The sequence below is a fragment of the Homo sapiens genome, chromosome 10 (assembly GCF_000001405.40).
Source record: "Homo sapiens chromosome 10, GRCh38.p14 Primary Assembly".
Classification (NCBI taxonomy): Eukaryota; Metazoa; Chordata; class Mammalia; order Primates; family Hominidae; genus Homo; species Homo sapiens.
In genome coordinates, this window is record NC_000010.11 from 49,459,371 (window position 1) to 49,476,669 (window position 17,299).

A 17,299-nucleotide genomic window follows, 5' to 3' on the forward strand; every position below is an offset into this window, starting at 1 on the left:
CACCTAATGAAAAGGGAAAGGAGGAGGGTCTGGTATCTAAATCCTCCCACTGTTAAGAGACCGTTTCCTAAAAAAAAATAAAGAGGGGGCAACCAAGCCATTCCCTTAGTCACCACCACTCAACATGGTGGTGGACAGGAAGGCAGAGTGGAGGCTTCCAGGCAAGGTTTCAGGAAAATCTGTCTCTAGGAGGCCCAGGACCACTTTCAGTACCTGTGGGCTTTTCCTGTTCTTCCTCTCAAATGGACCCTGTACACTGTGGATAAGGAACAATATCATAGCTATACTTCCTTTTCTTCACTTTTAAGTCTTCTTACTCTTTCCTACCTTACATCTAATGCAACTTGCCTTAAAAAAACACAAATCTAACTCTGAAAGGGTCTCAAATCCCTACTGCTAAAAGCACAGAACATGGGAAGTCAAAAAGGTACTAGTATTCCTAAACATGTTCACATTAACTTAAAATTGGAGTCTGAATCTGGGAGTTTTAACATAATCCTTAATCAGAAAGACCAGAAAGACTTCCACTGAATGGTGGAATCTGGACTAGTTTTAACCACAGTAGCACTCAAGGCAAGCAGGGCATTCTTGAGCAGAGAAAGACAGGCACTCTGCTCTAGCAGCCAGTGAGTTACAGACACCAACATTCAAGGCAGTTTTCTGGACTTTTATTTCAGAGGGTTGTGGTCTCTGGAGCTGGCACTTTCCCTCTAGACAAGGCAGGCTGTCCTAGCAGCGACACACCTATCCCTGTGTCAACCTTCTAATGGCAAAACAGAAATGCTGCTACGGATCTTGGGTTAAAGACTTTGTCTTTAGGAAATCAGCAGGTCCTTTTAGATTCAAGTGAATGTGCATCGTAAATCAGAGCGTGCAACACAAATATCAGGTGTCATTACACCAGAGATGACCATTTTCTTCACATCCAGAATCAGGTGAAATTTTCACAGCATTCAATCAAGCAAGTCTCACCCTGGAAAGCAAAAAGGTTATCTATATTACCTGGCACTTCTCTGTTGGAGATGTTGATGAAGGATGCTGCACAGAGAAGTTAGAATTCCTTTTCTTACCAAATCTACTCCTAAAAAAGGAAAAGCATCACAGTAGATTAAATGTTTGCTTTTGAGACTTAGAGATCAAAATATTCTTTCAACAATGAACTTCTTCCTGGAAACATTTCCATCTGCATGCTTATTCTTTCACAGCCATGCCATTTCTGCTCTATCCCCCTCGATTCTTCCACTCCACCCTCCTAGAAAGTAACTGCTGGCTGGGCGCAGTGGCTCATGCCTGTAATCCCAACACTTTGGGAGGCTGAGGCAGGCAGATCACTTGAGGTCAGGAGGTCGAGACTAGCCTGGCCAACATGGTGAAATCCCGTCTCTACTAAAAATACAAAAATTAGCCTGGCATGGTGGCGGGAGCCTGTAATCCCAGCTACTCAGGAAGCAGAGAATGCAGTGGGCCAAGATCACACCACTGCACTCCAGCCCGGGCGAAAGGGCGAGACTCCATCTCTAAAAAAAGAAAAAAAAAAAGGAACTGCTGCATCTCAGAATGAGAACCACTCAGTATCTTGTTCAAAAGATGATGGGAACCATTCTCAATTCCAAGTAGGAAAATCATTCTAAAAGAGCATACTGAATAGCAAAGTAATTAATGTGTGCTGTAAACTGGCTAATTATCTCATTAAGGTTTAATCATTATCCTGTATCTCTTACTATTTTTAACAACACCATCTCTCAAATAAAACCAATCACTTCTCCTGAAGCCACTTTGGAAAACAGGGGATGAAAGCAAGGAGGAAGGCAAAGTTATAACAGTATTTCTCCAAGTCACCCAGATTTTGCTGCTATAATCCCTCCCTGGGGATTTATTCCTGAAGAGAAATAACAGTATAAGCCTCCACACCTGCCCTGATTTTATTTCTAGCCTTAGTTGTTTGGACTCCTTGCAAGTATGGCATGCAGCAATCTCTTACTTTTTTCCTGCTGGTGCACCAGAAATCCCCCTGTGGCCAGTCCAGGTGGGAACACCAGACACTGCTCCCAGACACCGCTGACGAGAGAGCCTCAGTGCTTTCAGGGCATCCTGGGCCACTCGGTTGGCTTCTGCCTCCACCAGTACATAATCTGGGCTGGCTCCATCCATGATGGCATCGTGCTTCATGACACTGTGCACGCCAACTAGCAAGAAAAGAAATAGCAAAGTGATATTTCACTCTGTATGCAAGAAAGACACTTTTCTCCTCTGTATAAGTACAGTACTGTAGTAGACAAAAACAAAGTGATAGTACACTTAGAAAACCCTAGAGAATCAATGATAAAAAATAGTAAGATAATTCAAGCAACATAAAAAATATAAAATTCACACACAGAAACCTATAACCTTCCTATTTACAAACAATAGCCAGCTAAAAATATAATGGTGGGAAAATTCTATTTACAGTAACAGAAAAGACCAAACACTTAGGAATAAACCCAAGCAATGTGTAAAGCCTATATGGAGAAGACATGAAAACACTCCTGGGAAGATAGACTATCAGACTTAAACAAACAGAAAGACATCCCTTGCATTTGAGTAGAATGACTCAATAACCATTTTCCCTGAGTTAATTTATATGTTTAATGTAATCTCAATAAAAATGTCAACCTTTCTTATGAAGCTAGACAAACTGACACTAAAGTTCATACAGAACAATAAACCTTCATGAACAGATCAGAAAACACTGAAAAGGCAAAGTAACACCCTATTGGACAATAAAACACGCTCCAATTACAACAGTTTGGTGCTGAGGAAAGAAGAGACACAACAGGAGATTGACCAGAAAATAGAAATAGATTGAACTGCATTTGGAAATGTACTACATGATAAAGGCATCTCTAATCACTGAGAAAAACTTATTTGAAATAAATGATGCTACAAACGTTGGGGCACAAACGTTGGGGCATTTTATCTTTGAACCAAGATAAAATCCACACCTCATACTCCAAATGGATCAGAAATCTGAATGTAAAAAGCAAAACCATACAAGTAGTACAAGAAAACATGGCGAATTATCATATGATCTATATGTAGAAAAGGCTTAGAACTACAATTCCAATTAATAAAAGACTGACAATTTTTTTAAAAAAAAACCTGTTTCATAGGAAAAAAATCATAATAAAGGACAACCAATGAGGAAATACTTGTAACATATATGAAAAATGAAAAGCTAACATCCCTAATATATAAAGAACTCTTTAAAACCAAGGGGAAAAAGGGACCAAAAACCTGATTTAGAAAATGGACAAAAGACATGAACAGACAAGTTCACAGAAAGAAAAATTTTTTAAATATAAATGGTCCTATAAAAAGTTCAATTTCACTCAAAGAAAATAACTGGAAATTAAAACTTAAGATATCCTTTCTCACCTATCAGATTGGGAAAAATTAAAAGTGTAACACCACACTCTTGACAAGCCTCTGGGCAACAACTGCTCGTGACAATTCAAATTGATCTAAACCTTACAAAAGGGAGTTGGGCATTATTCAAACAAACAAACAAAACAAACTTACATATGTGTTTACCTTTTGATCTAGCAATTCCTCTTGTATAAGCACAGGATTATTTAGTGCAGCACTGTGGCTAAAAGAAGCTATAAAAAATCTAAATCCTCATATGTGGATAAACTGTGGTACAGGTTGAATATCTCTTACCCAAAATTCTTGGGACCAGAAGTGCTTCAGATTTTGCCTTTTTCAGATTTTGGAATAATTGCATATACCTAATGAGACATCTTGGGGATGGGCCCCAAGTCTAAACACAAAATGTATATATTTTTAACATACACCTTACACACATAGCCTGAAGGTAATTTTAATATAATACGTTTATCAATTTTGTGCAGGAAACAAAGTGTTAATTGTGTTTTGACTGTGACCCATCACATGAAGTCAGGTGTGGAATTTTCCACATCTGGCATCATGTCAGTGCACAAAAAGTTTTGGATTTTAGAGCATTTTAGATTTCAGGTTTTGGGTCAACATAGCAGAGCACTCTAGCAATAAAAATTGCTAAAGGAGGAATAGCTCTCTGTTAATTAATACTGCAGTGGCTGTCAGGATATATGAAGTTTTTTTAAAAAAAGGAACAGAAGATAATATAGTATACAACCTTTTGTGTAAGAGAATAAGGGAATATAAAATTATACATGTGCCTGCTTATTTCTACAAAAGAAACATATAGTTCAGCTGTGTCCCCACCCAAATCTCATCTTGAATTGTAACTCCCACAATTCCCACGTGACATGGGAGGAACCCAGTGGGAGGTGATTAATTATGAAGATGCGTCTTTCCTACACTGTTCTCATGAGTGAATGAGTTTCATGAGATCTCATGGTTTTAAAAATGGGAGTTTTCCTGCATAAGCTCTCTTTGCCTGCTGCCGTCCATGTAAGATGTGACTTGCTCCTCCTTGCCTTCTGACATGACTGTGAGGCCTCCACAGCCACACAGAACTGTAAGTTGATTAAACCTCTTTCTTTTGTAAATTGCCCAGTCTTGGGTAATGTCTTTATCAGCAGCATAAAAATGCACTAATAAAGGCAACTGGTACCAGTGGGGAGGTGCGCTCCTGAAAAGATATCCCAAAATGTGGAAGCAACTTTGGAACTGGGTAACAGGTAGAGATGGGAACAGTTTGGAGGGCTCAGAAGACGAGAGGAAAATGTGGGAAGGTTTGCAACTTCCTAGAGACTTCTTGAATAGCTTTGACAAAAATGTTGATAGTGATATGAACAGTAAGGTCCAAACTGAGGTGGTCTCAGACGGAGATGAGGAACTTGTTGGGAATTGGAGCAAAGGTGACTCTTGTTATGTTTTAGCAAAGAGACAGGCGGCATTTTGCCCCTGCCCTAGAGATCTGTGGAACTTTGAACTTGAGAGAGATGATTTAGGGTATCTGGCGGAAGAAATTTCTAAGCAGCAAAGCATTCAACAGGTGACATGGGTGTTGTTAAAGGCATTCAGTTTTATAAGGGAAGCAGTGCATAAAAGTTTGGACAATTTGCAGCCTTACAATGTGATAGGAAAGAAAACCCCATTTTCTCAAGAGAAATTCAAGCTGGCTGCAGAAATTTGCATTACGTAACGAGGAGCCAAATGTTAATCCCCAAGACAATGAGGAAAATGTCTGCAGGGCATATCAGAGACCTTCATGGCAACCCCTCCCATCACAGGCCCAGAGGCCCAGGGGGAAAAAGTGGTTTCACGGGCCTGGCCCATGGTCCCCATGCTGTGTGCAGCCTGGGGACTTGGTGTACTGTGTCCCAGCCACTCCAGCTGTGGCTGAAAGGGGCCAACAAAGAGCTCAGGCTGTGGCTTCAGATGGTGCAAGCCCCAAGCCTTGGGAGCTTCCACACAGTGTTGAGCCTGAGGGTGCACAGAAGTCAATAACTGAGGTTTGGGAACTTCTGCCTAGATTTCAAAAGATGTATGGAAACTCCTAGATGCCCAGGCAGAAGTTTGCTGCAGGGGCAGGGTTCTCATGGAGAATCTCTCCTAGGGCAGTGCAGAAGGAAAATGTTGGGTTGGAGTCCCCACACAGAGTCCCTACTGGGGCACCACCTAGTGGAGCTATGAGAAGAGGGCCACGGTCCTCCAGACCCCAGAACAGTAGATCCACTGACAGCTTGCACCATGCACCTGGAAAGGCTGCAGACACTCAATGCCACCCATGAAAGCAGCCAGGAGGGGGGCTATACCCTGCAAAGCCAAAGGGGCAGAGCTGCCCAAGACCATAGGAACCCACCTCTTGCATCAGCGTGACCTGGATGCGAGACAAGGAGTCAAAGGAGATCATTTTGGAGCTTTAAGATTTGACTGCCCTGCTGGACTTCAGACTTGTGTGGGGCCTATAGCCCCTTTGTTTTGGTCAATTTCTCCCATTTGGAATGGCTGTACTTACCCAATGCCTGTAACCCTATTGTATCTAGGAAGTAACTAACTTGCTTTTGATTTTACAGGCTCATAGGCAGAAGAGACTTGCCTGGTCTTGGATGAGACTCTGGACTGTGGACTTTTGAGTTAATGCTGAAATGAGTTGAGACTTTAGGGGACTGTTGGGAAGGCATGATTGGTTTTAAAATGTGAAGATATGAGATATGGGAGGGGCCAGAGGTGGAAAGATATGGTTTGGCTATGTCCCAGCCAAATCTCATCTTGAATTGTAACTCCCACAATTCCCACATGTCATGGGAGGAATCTGGTGGGAGGTGACTGAATTATGGGGTTGGGTCTTTCCTGTGCTGTTCTTGTACTAGTGAATGAGTCTTATATGAGATCTGATGGTTTTAAAAATGGGAATTTCTCTGCACAAGCTCTTTGCCTGCTGCTATCCATGAAAGATGTTACTTGCTCCTCCTTGCATGATTGTAAAGCCTCCCCAGTCATGTGGAATTGTAAGTCAATTAAACCTCTTTCTTTTGTAAATTGCCCAGTCTCTGGTATGTCTTTATCAGCAGTGTGAAAACAGACTAACACAGAAACACATGAAGGAAATGCCAGAAACTCATGAGACTGGTAAGGTAAGGAAGGGGTGGGGACAGGGTGGGGGATGACACTACTCTGGTATTCCTTTTTGCATATTTTGTCTTTTGTTACTATGTTAATGTGTTACTACTCAGAAGATAACATAGAGTCAACAAGGATGGGAGGAAACCCTAAAGTGGAATACAAACAAATAAATTAACCTAACTGTATTTTAAACTGATAGCACACACTGAAAATATGATGAAGGGTGAGAAAAAAGAACTAAGTTATTTTTGACTCAAGTAGTGTTTTGACCAAAAACTTAGACTAAAGACAAAAAGAAATAAAAACAAATATTGAACTTTAGTTAGTATAAATAAAAACAAATATTGAATTCTAGTTAGTATAACTGTTTCTTGCCATAGTTCAGGTCAGAAATTGTAAAAAGCTACCATGTATCCTAGGATTGACAAGTAACTCAGTACGTTGTGAATGAAGGTCTTGAAGAAGGAAGCTACAAACATGGAAAGGGCCCTAGGGTGCTGAAATGAAATTGGAGACAACAGTATTCCCTCATCTTATTTTGCTTTTTGGAGCTTATTAGAGTGTAACTGATATGCAATAACTGCTAAAGTACAGTATTTGGTAAGTTGTGACATTATGTACATACCATGAAACTATCACTACAATCAAGACAATGAACATAGCCGTCACCTGCAAAACTCATGTCCCTTTGTAATCCCACCGTCAAATACCCCATGCCCAGACAACCAATCCAATTTCTGTCATGACTGTGTGTTTTCTAGAATTTTATGCAAACGGCATCAGAGTATGTACTAATCTTACTAGTCCGAAAGTCATCCATGCTGTAGCATGTATCAATACTCTACTTCCTTTTATTGTTGATTAGTATATATATTTTTTGAGACGGAGTCTTGCTCTGTCGCACAGGCAGGAGTACAATGGTGTGATCTCGGCTCACTGCAACCTCCACTTCCCAGGTTCAAGCGATTCTCCCGCTCAGCTTCCCAAGTAGCTGGGATTCCAGACACCCACCATCATGCCTAATTTTTGTATTTTTGTAGAGATGGAGTTTCACCATGTTGTCCAGGTTGGTCTCGAACTCCTGACCTCAGGTGATTCACCCACCTCGGCCTCCCAAAGTGCTGGGATTACAGGCGTGAGCCAAGCCCCACCTGTCGACTAGTATTTGATCATATGGATATGCCATGGTTAGTTTAACTATTTACTTGTTGGTAGACATTTGATTTCTACATTTTTGGCTATTACTAATAAAGCTGCTACGAATATTCATGTACAAGCCTTCGTATGGACATATTTTTCCATTTCTCTTGGGCAAATACACACCCAGGACTGAAAAAGCTATATCACAAGGAAAGCGCATGCAACTGCCAAACTGTTTTCCAAAGTGATTGTGCCATTTTACATTCCCACCAGGCGTGTATGAGACCCAACTGCTTCACATCTTTACCAACACTTAGTATGGTCAGTCTTCTTTCATTTTAGCCATTCTAGAGGGTGTATAGTGGTATCTCGTTATGGTTCTAATTGGCATTTCCCTAATAACTAATAATATTAACAAGTTTCATATATTTATTTGCCATCTACATATCTTTCTTGGTGAAGTCTGTTCAAATTATTTGTCCATTTAAAAAATTGGGTTATACATTTTATTATTTTTTGACATGGGGTCTCGCTCTGCTGCCCAGGCTGGAGTGCAGTGGCATGATCACAGCTCACCACAGCCTCAACCTCCCAGGCTCGAGCAATCCTCCCAGCTCAGCCTCGCAAGTAGCTGGGACCACAGGTGTATGCTACCACACCCGGCTATTTTTTTTTTTATTTTTTGTAGAGATAGGATCTCACTATGTTGCCCAGGCTGGTTTTGAACTCCTAGGCTCAAGCAATCAACCCACCTCAGCCTCTCAAAGCACTGGGATTACAGGCTGAGCCACCACACCCAGCCAGTAATTTTTTATTGGGTTCCAGACATTGTGAATTTCATCTTGTTGGATGTTGGGTATTTGTATATTCCTGTAAACACTCAGGTAGGGCTGAAGCAGTGCTCACTCTAAGGCTGATCATTCCCTACTACAGAGGCAAGACCCCCTACTCTGTATCATACCCAATGCCCCATGAAATATTTTTCCAGTCTTAGCTGGTGGGAACAGGCACTATCCCTGGCCATGGGTGAGCACCAGACATGTTTCCTCTAATTCGAAAAGTTAAAGAGGAAAGGCCTTTTCACTGACCTTAAGTAGTTTTCTTGCACAATGTGCTGGTCAGTATTCAGCTGAGTGCCAGTGGAGACTCTGCAGACCTGTGGGGTTCTCTCCCTGTGCAGAGCTGTCTCCGCTATCGTCTCTTGCATGTGAATGCCAGCCACCCTGGCCTCCCCTGATGCTCAGCTCTGCCTTTTCAACAGAGGGTCTGCCTGGACTCCCATCTGGGTTCTCCCTCTTTCTGTTACAGCACGAAAATTCTCTCAAGGCAGTAGGGCAGGGCAACTGGAGAGCTCAGTTCATTTGTTTCCCATCTCTCAAGAGATCACTGCCCTTTGGTGTCTGAAAACCATTGCTTCATATGTTTTGTCATTGTTTTCATTGTTTCACATGGAAGGGTAAATGTTAATCTGCCTTTGCTGGAAGCCAAATTCATGGTTTTCACAGACATAGAGACAGGTGTATCTGTGCAATTTGTTGTGCATATATATGCACGTATGTATGTGTATATGTATGTACACAACAAACACATACACACACATACATACATCTATTTCCTGATACTATTGGCTACGAAAGCAATGACATAATAGCAGCAATGAACACTCTGAGAACCCGGATCCTAGTTCCTAAATACCATTCTCCAGGGTTCCTTGAAGAAATGGCTGATTCCAGGGCTGGCACAGAATACAAATTGAGCTCAGCATATATTAGTATGCCAAGAAGAAAGGAGGTGCTCAAAGAATGGTGGGGACATACCAGAGGGACAAAGGAGCCAGCTTGAAGGAGCTCCCACCCATGAGGCAAATCTAAGACAATACGAGCATCATAATACCCCTACTAATGGATTACAGTCATGGAAAAAAAAAGAATCCATTAGTCCACACTGATCTAAAAATAAATTAATAAATAAATAAGAGAGAAGGAAAACCTTCCTTACAATAGAATGTTAATCACCATTTGGCAACCATTGTAGTAATAACTGACTGAGGAAAGAATCATCAATAGATATTAAAACTAGTGGATAAAAGTTTGATGAGAAACAGGATATTTACACAGTCTCAAAGCATATTCCTTGAAAGCACAAATTAATTACAAAGGTAAAAATATTAACCTTAGCATTGAGAAACCTGGCAGACTCCACCTTAACCAAGTGATCTTAAAAATCAACTTGTAATAGGTCAAACCAGCATGTGTCTCCTGATAGATGCACTGAGTAAGATACGGTATCACCTCTGTGGCATTCCTACCAAAAAAAAAATGTATGCATAGATGGGTGTGTGTGTGAATGATAAAGCAAAAGCTGAAAAATGTTAATAACTTAGATAAAGGATATAGGAGAGTTCTTCGTATTATTCCAACTGATTTTTTTTTGAGACCCAACTGATTTAAGTTTGAAATTACTTCAAAATATGAAATTAACAAAAAAATTAACCATGCTAAATAAAAGTCTTTCTGAAATGCTACACATAAACCTGCCTTCTTAAACTGAGTACCATAAGCAGCAATCTTTGGTAACTCAAGGCCATCACATTGTGAACACAGTGACTGCTAAGGGATCACTAAGCAGGGCTATCTATATACTCCATGGTCTTGAGCAATTGTTGAGTCTACATCTCCTAACTTTTCTCCCTTGACATAAGCTATCAGCTTTCATACTTCTAGAATGTCTGTCTCTAGCCACACGCTTGTCCCTCTCCCTTATGATGTTACTTTAATCTCCTGTGGTTGGAAAATCAGATTAATGTAGCATATAGCATGTAAAGTAACTGCCTACTAATGTTCAGGTAGTACACATCGATTTAAGAATTGCACACCTCCCATGAGTGGCCATAAGTACTATTGTTTTCCAAAGTTTCAAATTATTCTAGGTCTTCAGAAAAGAGGTGTAAATACGATTTTTAAAATGTCAATATATTTCAAATCTAAATTTTTGAAGAAAAACACTAATGGCTGACAGCCCTCTATGCACCATCAGTTAAAGACTGCTACTGCTAGAAACAGCCTACTCATTTTCTAATCCTAGCATCCCTGTGGCAAACGTATCAAATGGATTACCTGATTTTTTGAAAAGCTTTTCCAAAACATAATCGTCATTGCTCTGTTCCTTGGCCTCACTCTTGTTTTCACTGTCTTGCTTCTGGTAACGCCTTTTCTTCACCAGGTGTGGAATTCGAGTTCCTTCAAACTTGGCGTCTCTGCAATGCTTAGAGTTCTTAGGCTTTTGCTTTGGTCTCAGATGTTTCTCCAGGGTCTCTTCTTCTGCCACACTATGATGTTTTGTTTTTGACTTGTGCTTATAAAAATTATTTTCCATTTGTTTATTCTCCCAAAAAGCTTCTGTTTGAGCCTGGCTGGGTCTTTCTCTTTTGTAAGAAAGACCTAACTTTTCATCAATGCTTTCATCACCAGATGGCATAGAAGTTTTGCCTGTTCCTGAAGAATTTGAACATTCCCCATTTCCACTAATCACTGACAACTCTTCTGGTCCAGATACTGCATTTGTCTCTTCTCCAAGCCTATCATTGCTAGTTACATTACTACTCATGTGAGGGTCATCTTTCAAAGGATCACTTCGATTAGAAGTTACTGCATTTACTTCAGCTCCTTTAGCCTCAGATTTCTCTTCAGATGATGTGGCATCATTTACAGATATGTTAGAAGCAGGGAACTTCTTGCGTTTTGGAACATCATGGTCTGCTCCAAAGGCTGGTTGAATCCTTCTTTTTAGATGGCATTTGGGTGTCTGAACATCTGATCCAGTTCCTGTAAAGAGGAAAAACACCACTAATACTATATTGTATCATCTTGTGCAATTGATTACTTTAAATTAAATGATTTTATGTAATACCTGCAAAAATTGCACTTGTTTCAGTGCTCTGGGATGCATCAGGACTAGTCAGAGTAAATAGCTCATAGAGATCATTGGATTTGAAAAACCGCCTTTGTTTTGGGTCTTTTAGCACTCTATTTGTCAAAAACTGCTTGAAGATTTGTCTAAAAAAATAAAAGATAAGCTGGTATAAAACAATGTGTAGCTCTACCTAAAAATTCAAGTTATAAAGCAATATAAGAGAGAGATGATAACAGCTGCTGCATGAATGGCTAAATAATCCCCCAAACTTTCAGCCTTGGAAAATTACAATTCAGGAAATATATAATACATCAGTTAATCTCCCAGGTCTTGCAGAATTTAAATTAGAAATAATACCTTATTATTTACACCGAATGAGCTTTTTCAACCTCCAAGATCTAACACATTTCAAGAAACACCTTTTCACATGCCATCATGTGACTCATAGTCTCTCTTAGCCTCCTTGACTTGAATACCAAGGGTCCTGCCCTGCCTAGAACCTTCCTATCATAGGGCTCAGCAAACTCTCTTACCTGGGCTTTGCAATGTCTCCACTCTGACCTCTCTCTCCCTGCTCCCACCTGCAGGTCCACACTCTGCTGAAGCCCCACACCACTGCCACTCTGGAACAGGCACCTCCACCAGCCACCCTGTCCCTCCCTGTCATTTATTCTCCCAGCTAAAGCATGAATCTATAAAAGGAAGCTCTCTTCTCACAGGATCCAACTCGTCCTCCACCCTCACACAACACTCCCTCGAGGAAGATGTAATGTTCCAGGAATGGCCCAGCATGTGGTAAAGGGCACAGAGCTTCCTATAAAAGCTGGGCTATGGCTCAAGGATAAAGTCTGTGGTGGGGGAGTGGGAGAAGCTGGCAATGTCTTGATTCTACTGTTGAAGTTACCACTGTCTAAAATCCCCTAGTCATTATGGAAAGACAGAGGACGAAACAGCCATCCTGTCGACTTCTTTGTAAGGGGCATCAGAGTCAAAGACTGCCAGAACACCCACACTGATCCTACCTGCATAATGTGGTATGTAAACACCAATATGGTAACATTCAACCTTGTCATTTTTTAAAATTTTTCTGAAGGCAACACACCATAGCAGGCAGAAATATTCCTTTCAAATAACAATATGAAGTTTACATGTATGTGATTCTTGAGGTAGAATAAGGTACAAAAATTATCAGGTTCAAAGACATTTTTTGACAACTCACAGTAAGACATCTAAGCATATTTTAAAGGGAAAGAAAAAATACAAAACAAAAACCAAAGCCTTAAGTTATAGCAACTATTATTCTAAGATGTTAAGACTTTTAAAAACAACACTTTGGAAAAATTCCCTGCTCAAGACTCTGGGAACGCACAGCCAAGAGTGGCCACTGTGTGCACTGACCGGTGGTAGATCTTTTCTTCAATGGTGCCCGCAGTCAGGAGCCTGTACACAGTCACTTGCTTCTTCTGGCCTATTCTCCATGCTCGCTCCCGGGCCTGCAACAGAGAGAGAGAGACCTCTCAACGAGAATCCTTCCCAATGACAAGCACTGACTATAAGAAACAAAGCTAGCTGGTCACTACCTGTCACTCCCAGAGTTAGAATTTTGACTCATGACGTCAAGTACACCTAAGGCCTACTCAGGAAGATGAACAGCCAGTTGAAAAGACATCTCTACTTGAAAAAATGTTTGTAACTTTGCCTATGTTCTTTTTACCCCAACTCTAGGAATGAATGCTATGGATAAACTGCTGAAGATGGTTCCTGTCCATTTGACTCTGAAGGGTGTCTTCTTTCACGTTGAAGAACAGGAGACAATCAAAATGTGAAACGTATGCTGAAGCCAACCAGAACATCAAAGGACAGTCAAAAGCGCTAACCATGAAACTATATTTCTACTAATACATTCTTTTAAAAAAAAAATAAAAACAAACCTGCGTGTCCGTGCTTGGGTTCCAGTCTGGGTCATAGATGACAACTCTGTTTGCCCCCGTCAGGTTGACACCTAAGCCGCCCACCCGCGTGGTCAGAAGAAACACAAATATGGATGTGTCCTAGAGGTAAGACACACAACACTGAGCACACACACTTAAGACCAGTTACAGTTCTCAGCCTCTGCCTCCACATATTGTACACATGGAATTACTGGGCTGTTCCCAATATAAGGAATGGTAATGTCCTAGAGACCTCTGGTGAATCAAAATCTCATTTCACAGCTTTTACTTTTAATATTTAATAGAAATATTTAAAAATTGGGTTTTTAGGAGGAAAATACATGCTGTAGAAAACGCATTCTTTGTTTGAACATACACATGCCCACAATCCCCGCCCCCAAATATCCAGAAGTAGGGCATAGAGTTAAAAACAACAAGTCTCCCCTTAGGCCCCCTCCCAAGCCCAGATGTCAATGCTGCTTTGGTGGGTAAGGGTGTGGATACGCTTAGTCCTTTCCCTCCACGTACAGCAGCACCACTCAACTTCCCTGTTACATTCACATGTTACCTCATTGTATCTCGTAATCAGTGGCTGTCTTGAAGCTATTGTAGTGGTACCATCCATCTTGAGATAGGTATACTTTTGGGCTCTAAGGAATACTTCAAGTATGTCCAGCATCTGTTTGGAGGTGGGGGATAGGAGTTTGCAAAGCAAATACACATTCCCAGTGAGTGCTTCTCTATTTGTGTAAATGGTAACACCTTCCCCAACAGGCCTATGTTAAAAGGAGTTTCTTGCTTTAGGACAGATAAACAGAACTGTTAAAAGAGTATTTTTGGTATTTCCGTATGGTTAATTCTTACTTTTGTAAACAGCCAAAGCTCAGGCCTAAACTTACTTGCAGACTAGAATCACATGGTGAGCTTTTTTAAAAAGTCAACTTTTAGACACCAACTCTAGAGAAAGATCTAAACTCCCAAAGAAATCGGTAGACTGCCACCTCAGCATCAGTGGTAGACTTGCTTCAGAATCATTACTTTAGATTGAATCCCATTTTGTGAGTTGATGGCTGTCATAAAGAACCAGCCTGTTTCCCGTCTGAAGTCTGTGCACTCACCTGCCTTGACTGAGAAAACAGCAATACTCGCTGACCCTGCTTGTGCCATATTTTCAACAAAGACTCAACAACAATCATTTTCCCAGAACGTTTCCAGTACCCAAACTGATCTTCTTCTAGTTCATCATCAGGAAGACCTTTGAGATTCTTGGGACCTCCAGAAAAGAGATCAGGGTGGTTGCAAATTTTTCTTAGGGCTATAAGTCCGGAGAAAATCTGTGGTAAGAAAGAGTACATGTACACTCAGATGACCCCATGTAAAGTAAGATTCCCTAGGCAAGGAGGCTGTTTAACCTATAACACAGACTAAAAAACAGTTCTCCACCAGCTTCTTAGTTTCTTCTCTAGTCACAGCATTATCATGAGCTGGGAGAAATTAACTTTCACTCATCTTGTTTCCCTGATAGAACAAGTTCTCAGAAACAAAAAAATTCTACTGGACTGAACACGTCTACAGGGGTCATATTCAATTGCTGATAATTCATTTTCCCTCACTAGAAAAAAGGTATGCAGTTCACGGTATTATAAACCTAATATAAAAAAGGAATTCGCCTTTTAAATATGGATCAGAAATGTCCTATCAACCTAAATTTGGAGACATCAGTCATGTGACTTATCAAATGCATTTAAATATTACACTCCTAATTACCTCACTAAAAGTTCTGCAGTTTAATATGAGTCAGAGGTTGAGGATCCATTTACCTTTAGATTATTATTATATCAGAAAAAAAACTGCATGAAAAATGCACGAATAGGAATGCACGAATGGGAAAGATATGGTCCATGCAGAAGGGCACAGAAGACAAGGGGTGAGTGCCCCGGCCCATCCCCACAAAAGAACATTAACAAAACTTCAATAATGGGGCTCTTCCAGCCTTGAGAGGATGATTCAAATCAAACTCACTGGTCTAAAAGCTTGAGCAGAGGAGAAATCACCATTAAGCCAATAATCAAAGGGTAGGGTAGCTATCACTAGTAAACAACAGTAAACAGATTAACAATAAATGATCTGAATAAGTCAGGAACATTGGTAAACCTCCCCAGAGTCATCCGTGACTCATTCTTCTTCCTTTCAATCTGCACTGTCCAATGCAGTAGTCACTAGTCACACGTGGCTACTGAGCACATGAAGTGTGGCTAGTCCAAATTGTGATGTGCTGCATATGTAAAATACATACCCAATTTCGAAGACAGAACAAAAAAGGAGTAAAATATCTTTTTAATCATTTTTAATTTTTGATTACATATTAAAATGTATTTTAGATATATGAAATAAAATATATATCAAAATTAATTTCACCTGTTTCTCTTTTTCCTTTTTAATGTGACTACTAGAAAATTTACAATTCCAAGTGTAGTTTGCATTCCCTTTCCTGGATAGTGTGATCTAGACCCCCTAACTTGGAAAGACCTGAAGAAGTTAAGGGGAGATTCATGGAGATGAATAGATGTGAATGACTGAAGAACCTCCTGTAGCAACCAATAAGAAATGAAATAAGAAATTGTGAGAGATGGTTAAAAGAACTGAAATGACCTAATCACACTCACATTATTTATACAATAGAGTCTTTTGGAGAAGACACTAGCTAGGAACTTCTGAATTCTGGACACTAGTAGAAAGAGAGCTTTCTCAGTATTGAAAGGAACAGAATCACCATAAATAAATTACTGTCCTACCCTGGGGACAATGAGAATTAGAGCCAGGGACATTTGAACCAGATTTATATCTGGTTCCTAACATGGCAATGGTTCATAAACATTTATTGGGGAATGGGGCTCCTTTAGGAAGCTGATGAAAGTTATGAATCCTCATGATCCTCTCCACAAGATATATAATTCTGGTCATAATATCTGGGAAAATGCAGCTATGTACCTGACACCCGCCCACCTACCAGGTAAGACCCTCGGAAGTAACAGTAACTGCACAGCTCGCAGCTGCATTTGCGTCTGGGTTCAGATCCACAGCACACAGCTCTGCAACTTTCCACCTTTCACCAGTTACCTACTCCTCTGCACCTTACGGCTCCAGGCCATAGGCTGACTGCACATCTACCATGCGGGACTTCATGCAAGTGAAGTGAGATGACAGTACGTGAAAAGCCTGGCACAATGTAGATCCTAGTTTCTTTTCCTCCCTCACTTCTCTTGGTCCACAATTCATTTCTCCAGCTTCTATTTTTTAGCTGACCTGCATCTCTCCATTGAGAATCCTGTAAACTTCTTTGGAATCAACGAAATTTTGGTAGACTTTATGCTGCTCATCTGTAAGACGGCAAAATAAGACCTACGGACGGGAAAAACAAGGAAACTATAATTTCAAAAAAAAAATTAACAGAAATAATTAAAATATCAACAAAACTTCCTGATCAAAAGAGCACAATGCATGCGATTTTAATGATATCCCTATTATTAATATTAAAACAACAAAGGGTGACAATACTTCTCACCATACCCTGCTCACCAGCCCCTCCATCTCTGTCACTTGTCTACCTCCAGGGCCCATCCCACAGTCCCCAAAGACTGGCTTCCTGCTCACGGGCAAGTTCAGTGCCCAGGTGCACAGACCATCCTCCACGTTAGCCTCCAAGTGCTCAAACCATCCCACCTCCCATGACCCATGCCATGCTCTACTCGGCAGACCTG

The 17,299-nt window shown here is 40.7% G+C and overlaps 1 protein-coding gene across 2 annotated transcripts in view, besides 1 other annotated feature; it reads right to left on the bottom strand.

The window, feature by feature from the left end:
- The window catches only part of ERCC6 (ERCC excision repair 6, chromatin remodeling factor), a 104,658-nt gene that overhangs the window by 24,490 nt on the left and 62,869 nt on the right, over positions 1-17,299 (bottom strand). For both annotated transcript variants that reach the window (NM_001346440.2, NM_000124.4), the window contains exons 12-20: positions 16,845-16,940; positions 14,657-14,872; positions 14,107-14,217; positions 13,539-13,658; positions 13,006-13,100; positions 11,605-11,750; positions 10,812-11,519; positions 1,982-2,186; positions 1,003-1,081 (exon numbers count right to left, since the gene is read on the bottom strand). In NM_001346440.2, coding sequence (NP_001333369.1) covers positions 1,003-1,081; positions 1,982-2,186; positions 10,812-11,519; positions 11,605-11,750; positions 13,006-13,100; positions 13,539-13,658; positions 14,107-14,217; positions 14,657-14,872; positions 16,845-16,940 — 1,776 coding nt within the window. The remainder of the gene's footprint in view (positions 1-1,002; positions 1,082-1,981; positions 2,187-10,811; positions 11,520-11,604; positions 11,751-13,005; positions 13,101-13,538; positions 13,659-14,106; positions 14,218-14,656; positions 14,873-16,844; positions 16,941-17,299) is intronic.
- Positions 12,546-13,745: an enhancer, noted in NCBI's record as "BRD4-independent group 4 enhancer chr10:50679962-50681161 (GRCh37/hg19 assembly coordinates)". NCBI's record gives its function as "activates an origin of replication core promoter dependent on BRD2, P300/CBP, MED14 and CDK7 cofactors, and independent of BRD4, by STARR-seq in HCT116 cells {active_cell/tissue: HCT116}" and the evidence as "EXISTENCE:reporter gene assay evidence [ECO:0000049][PMID:35650434]".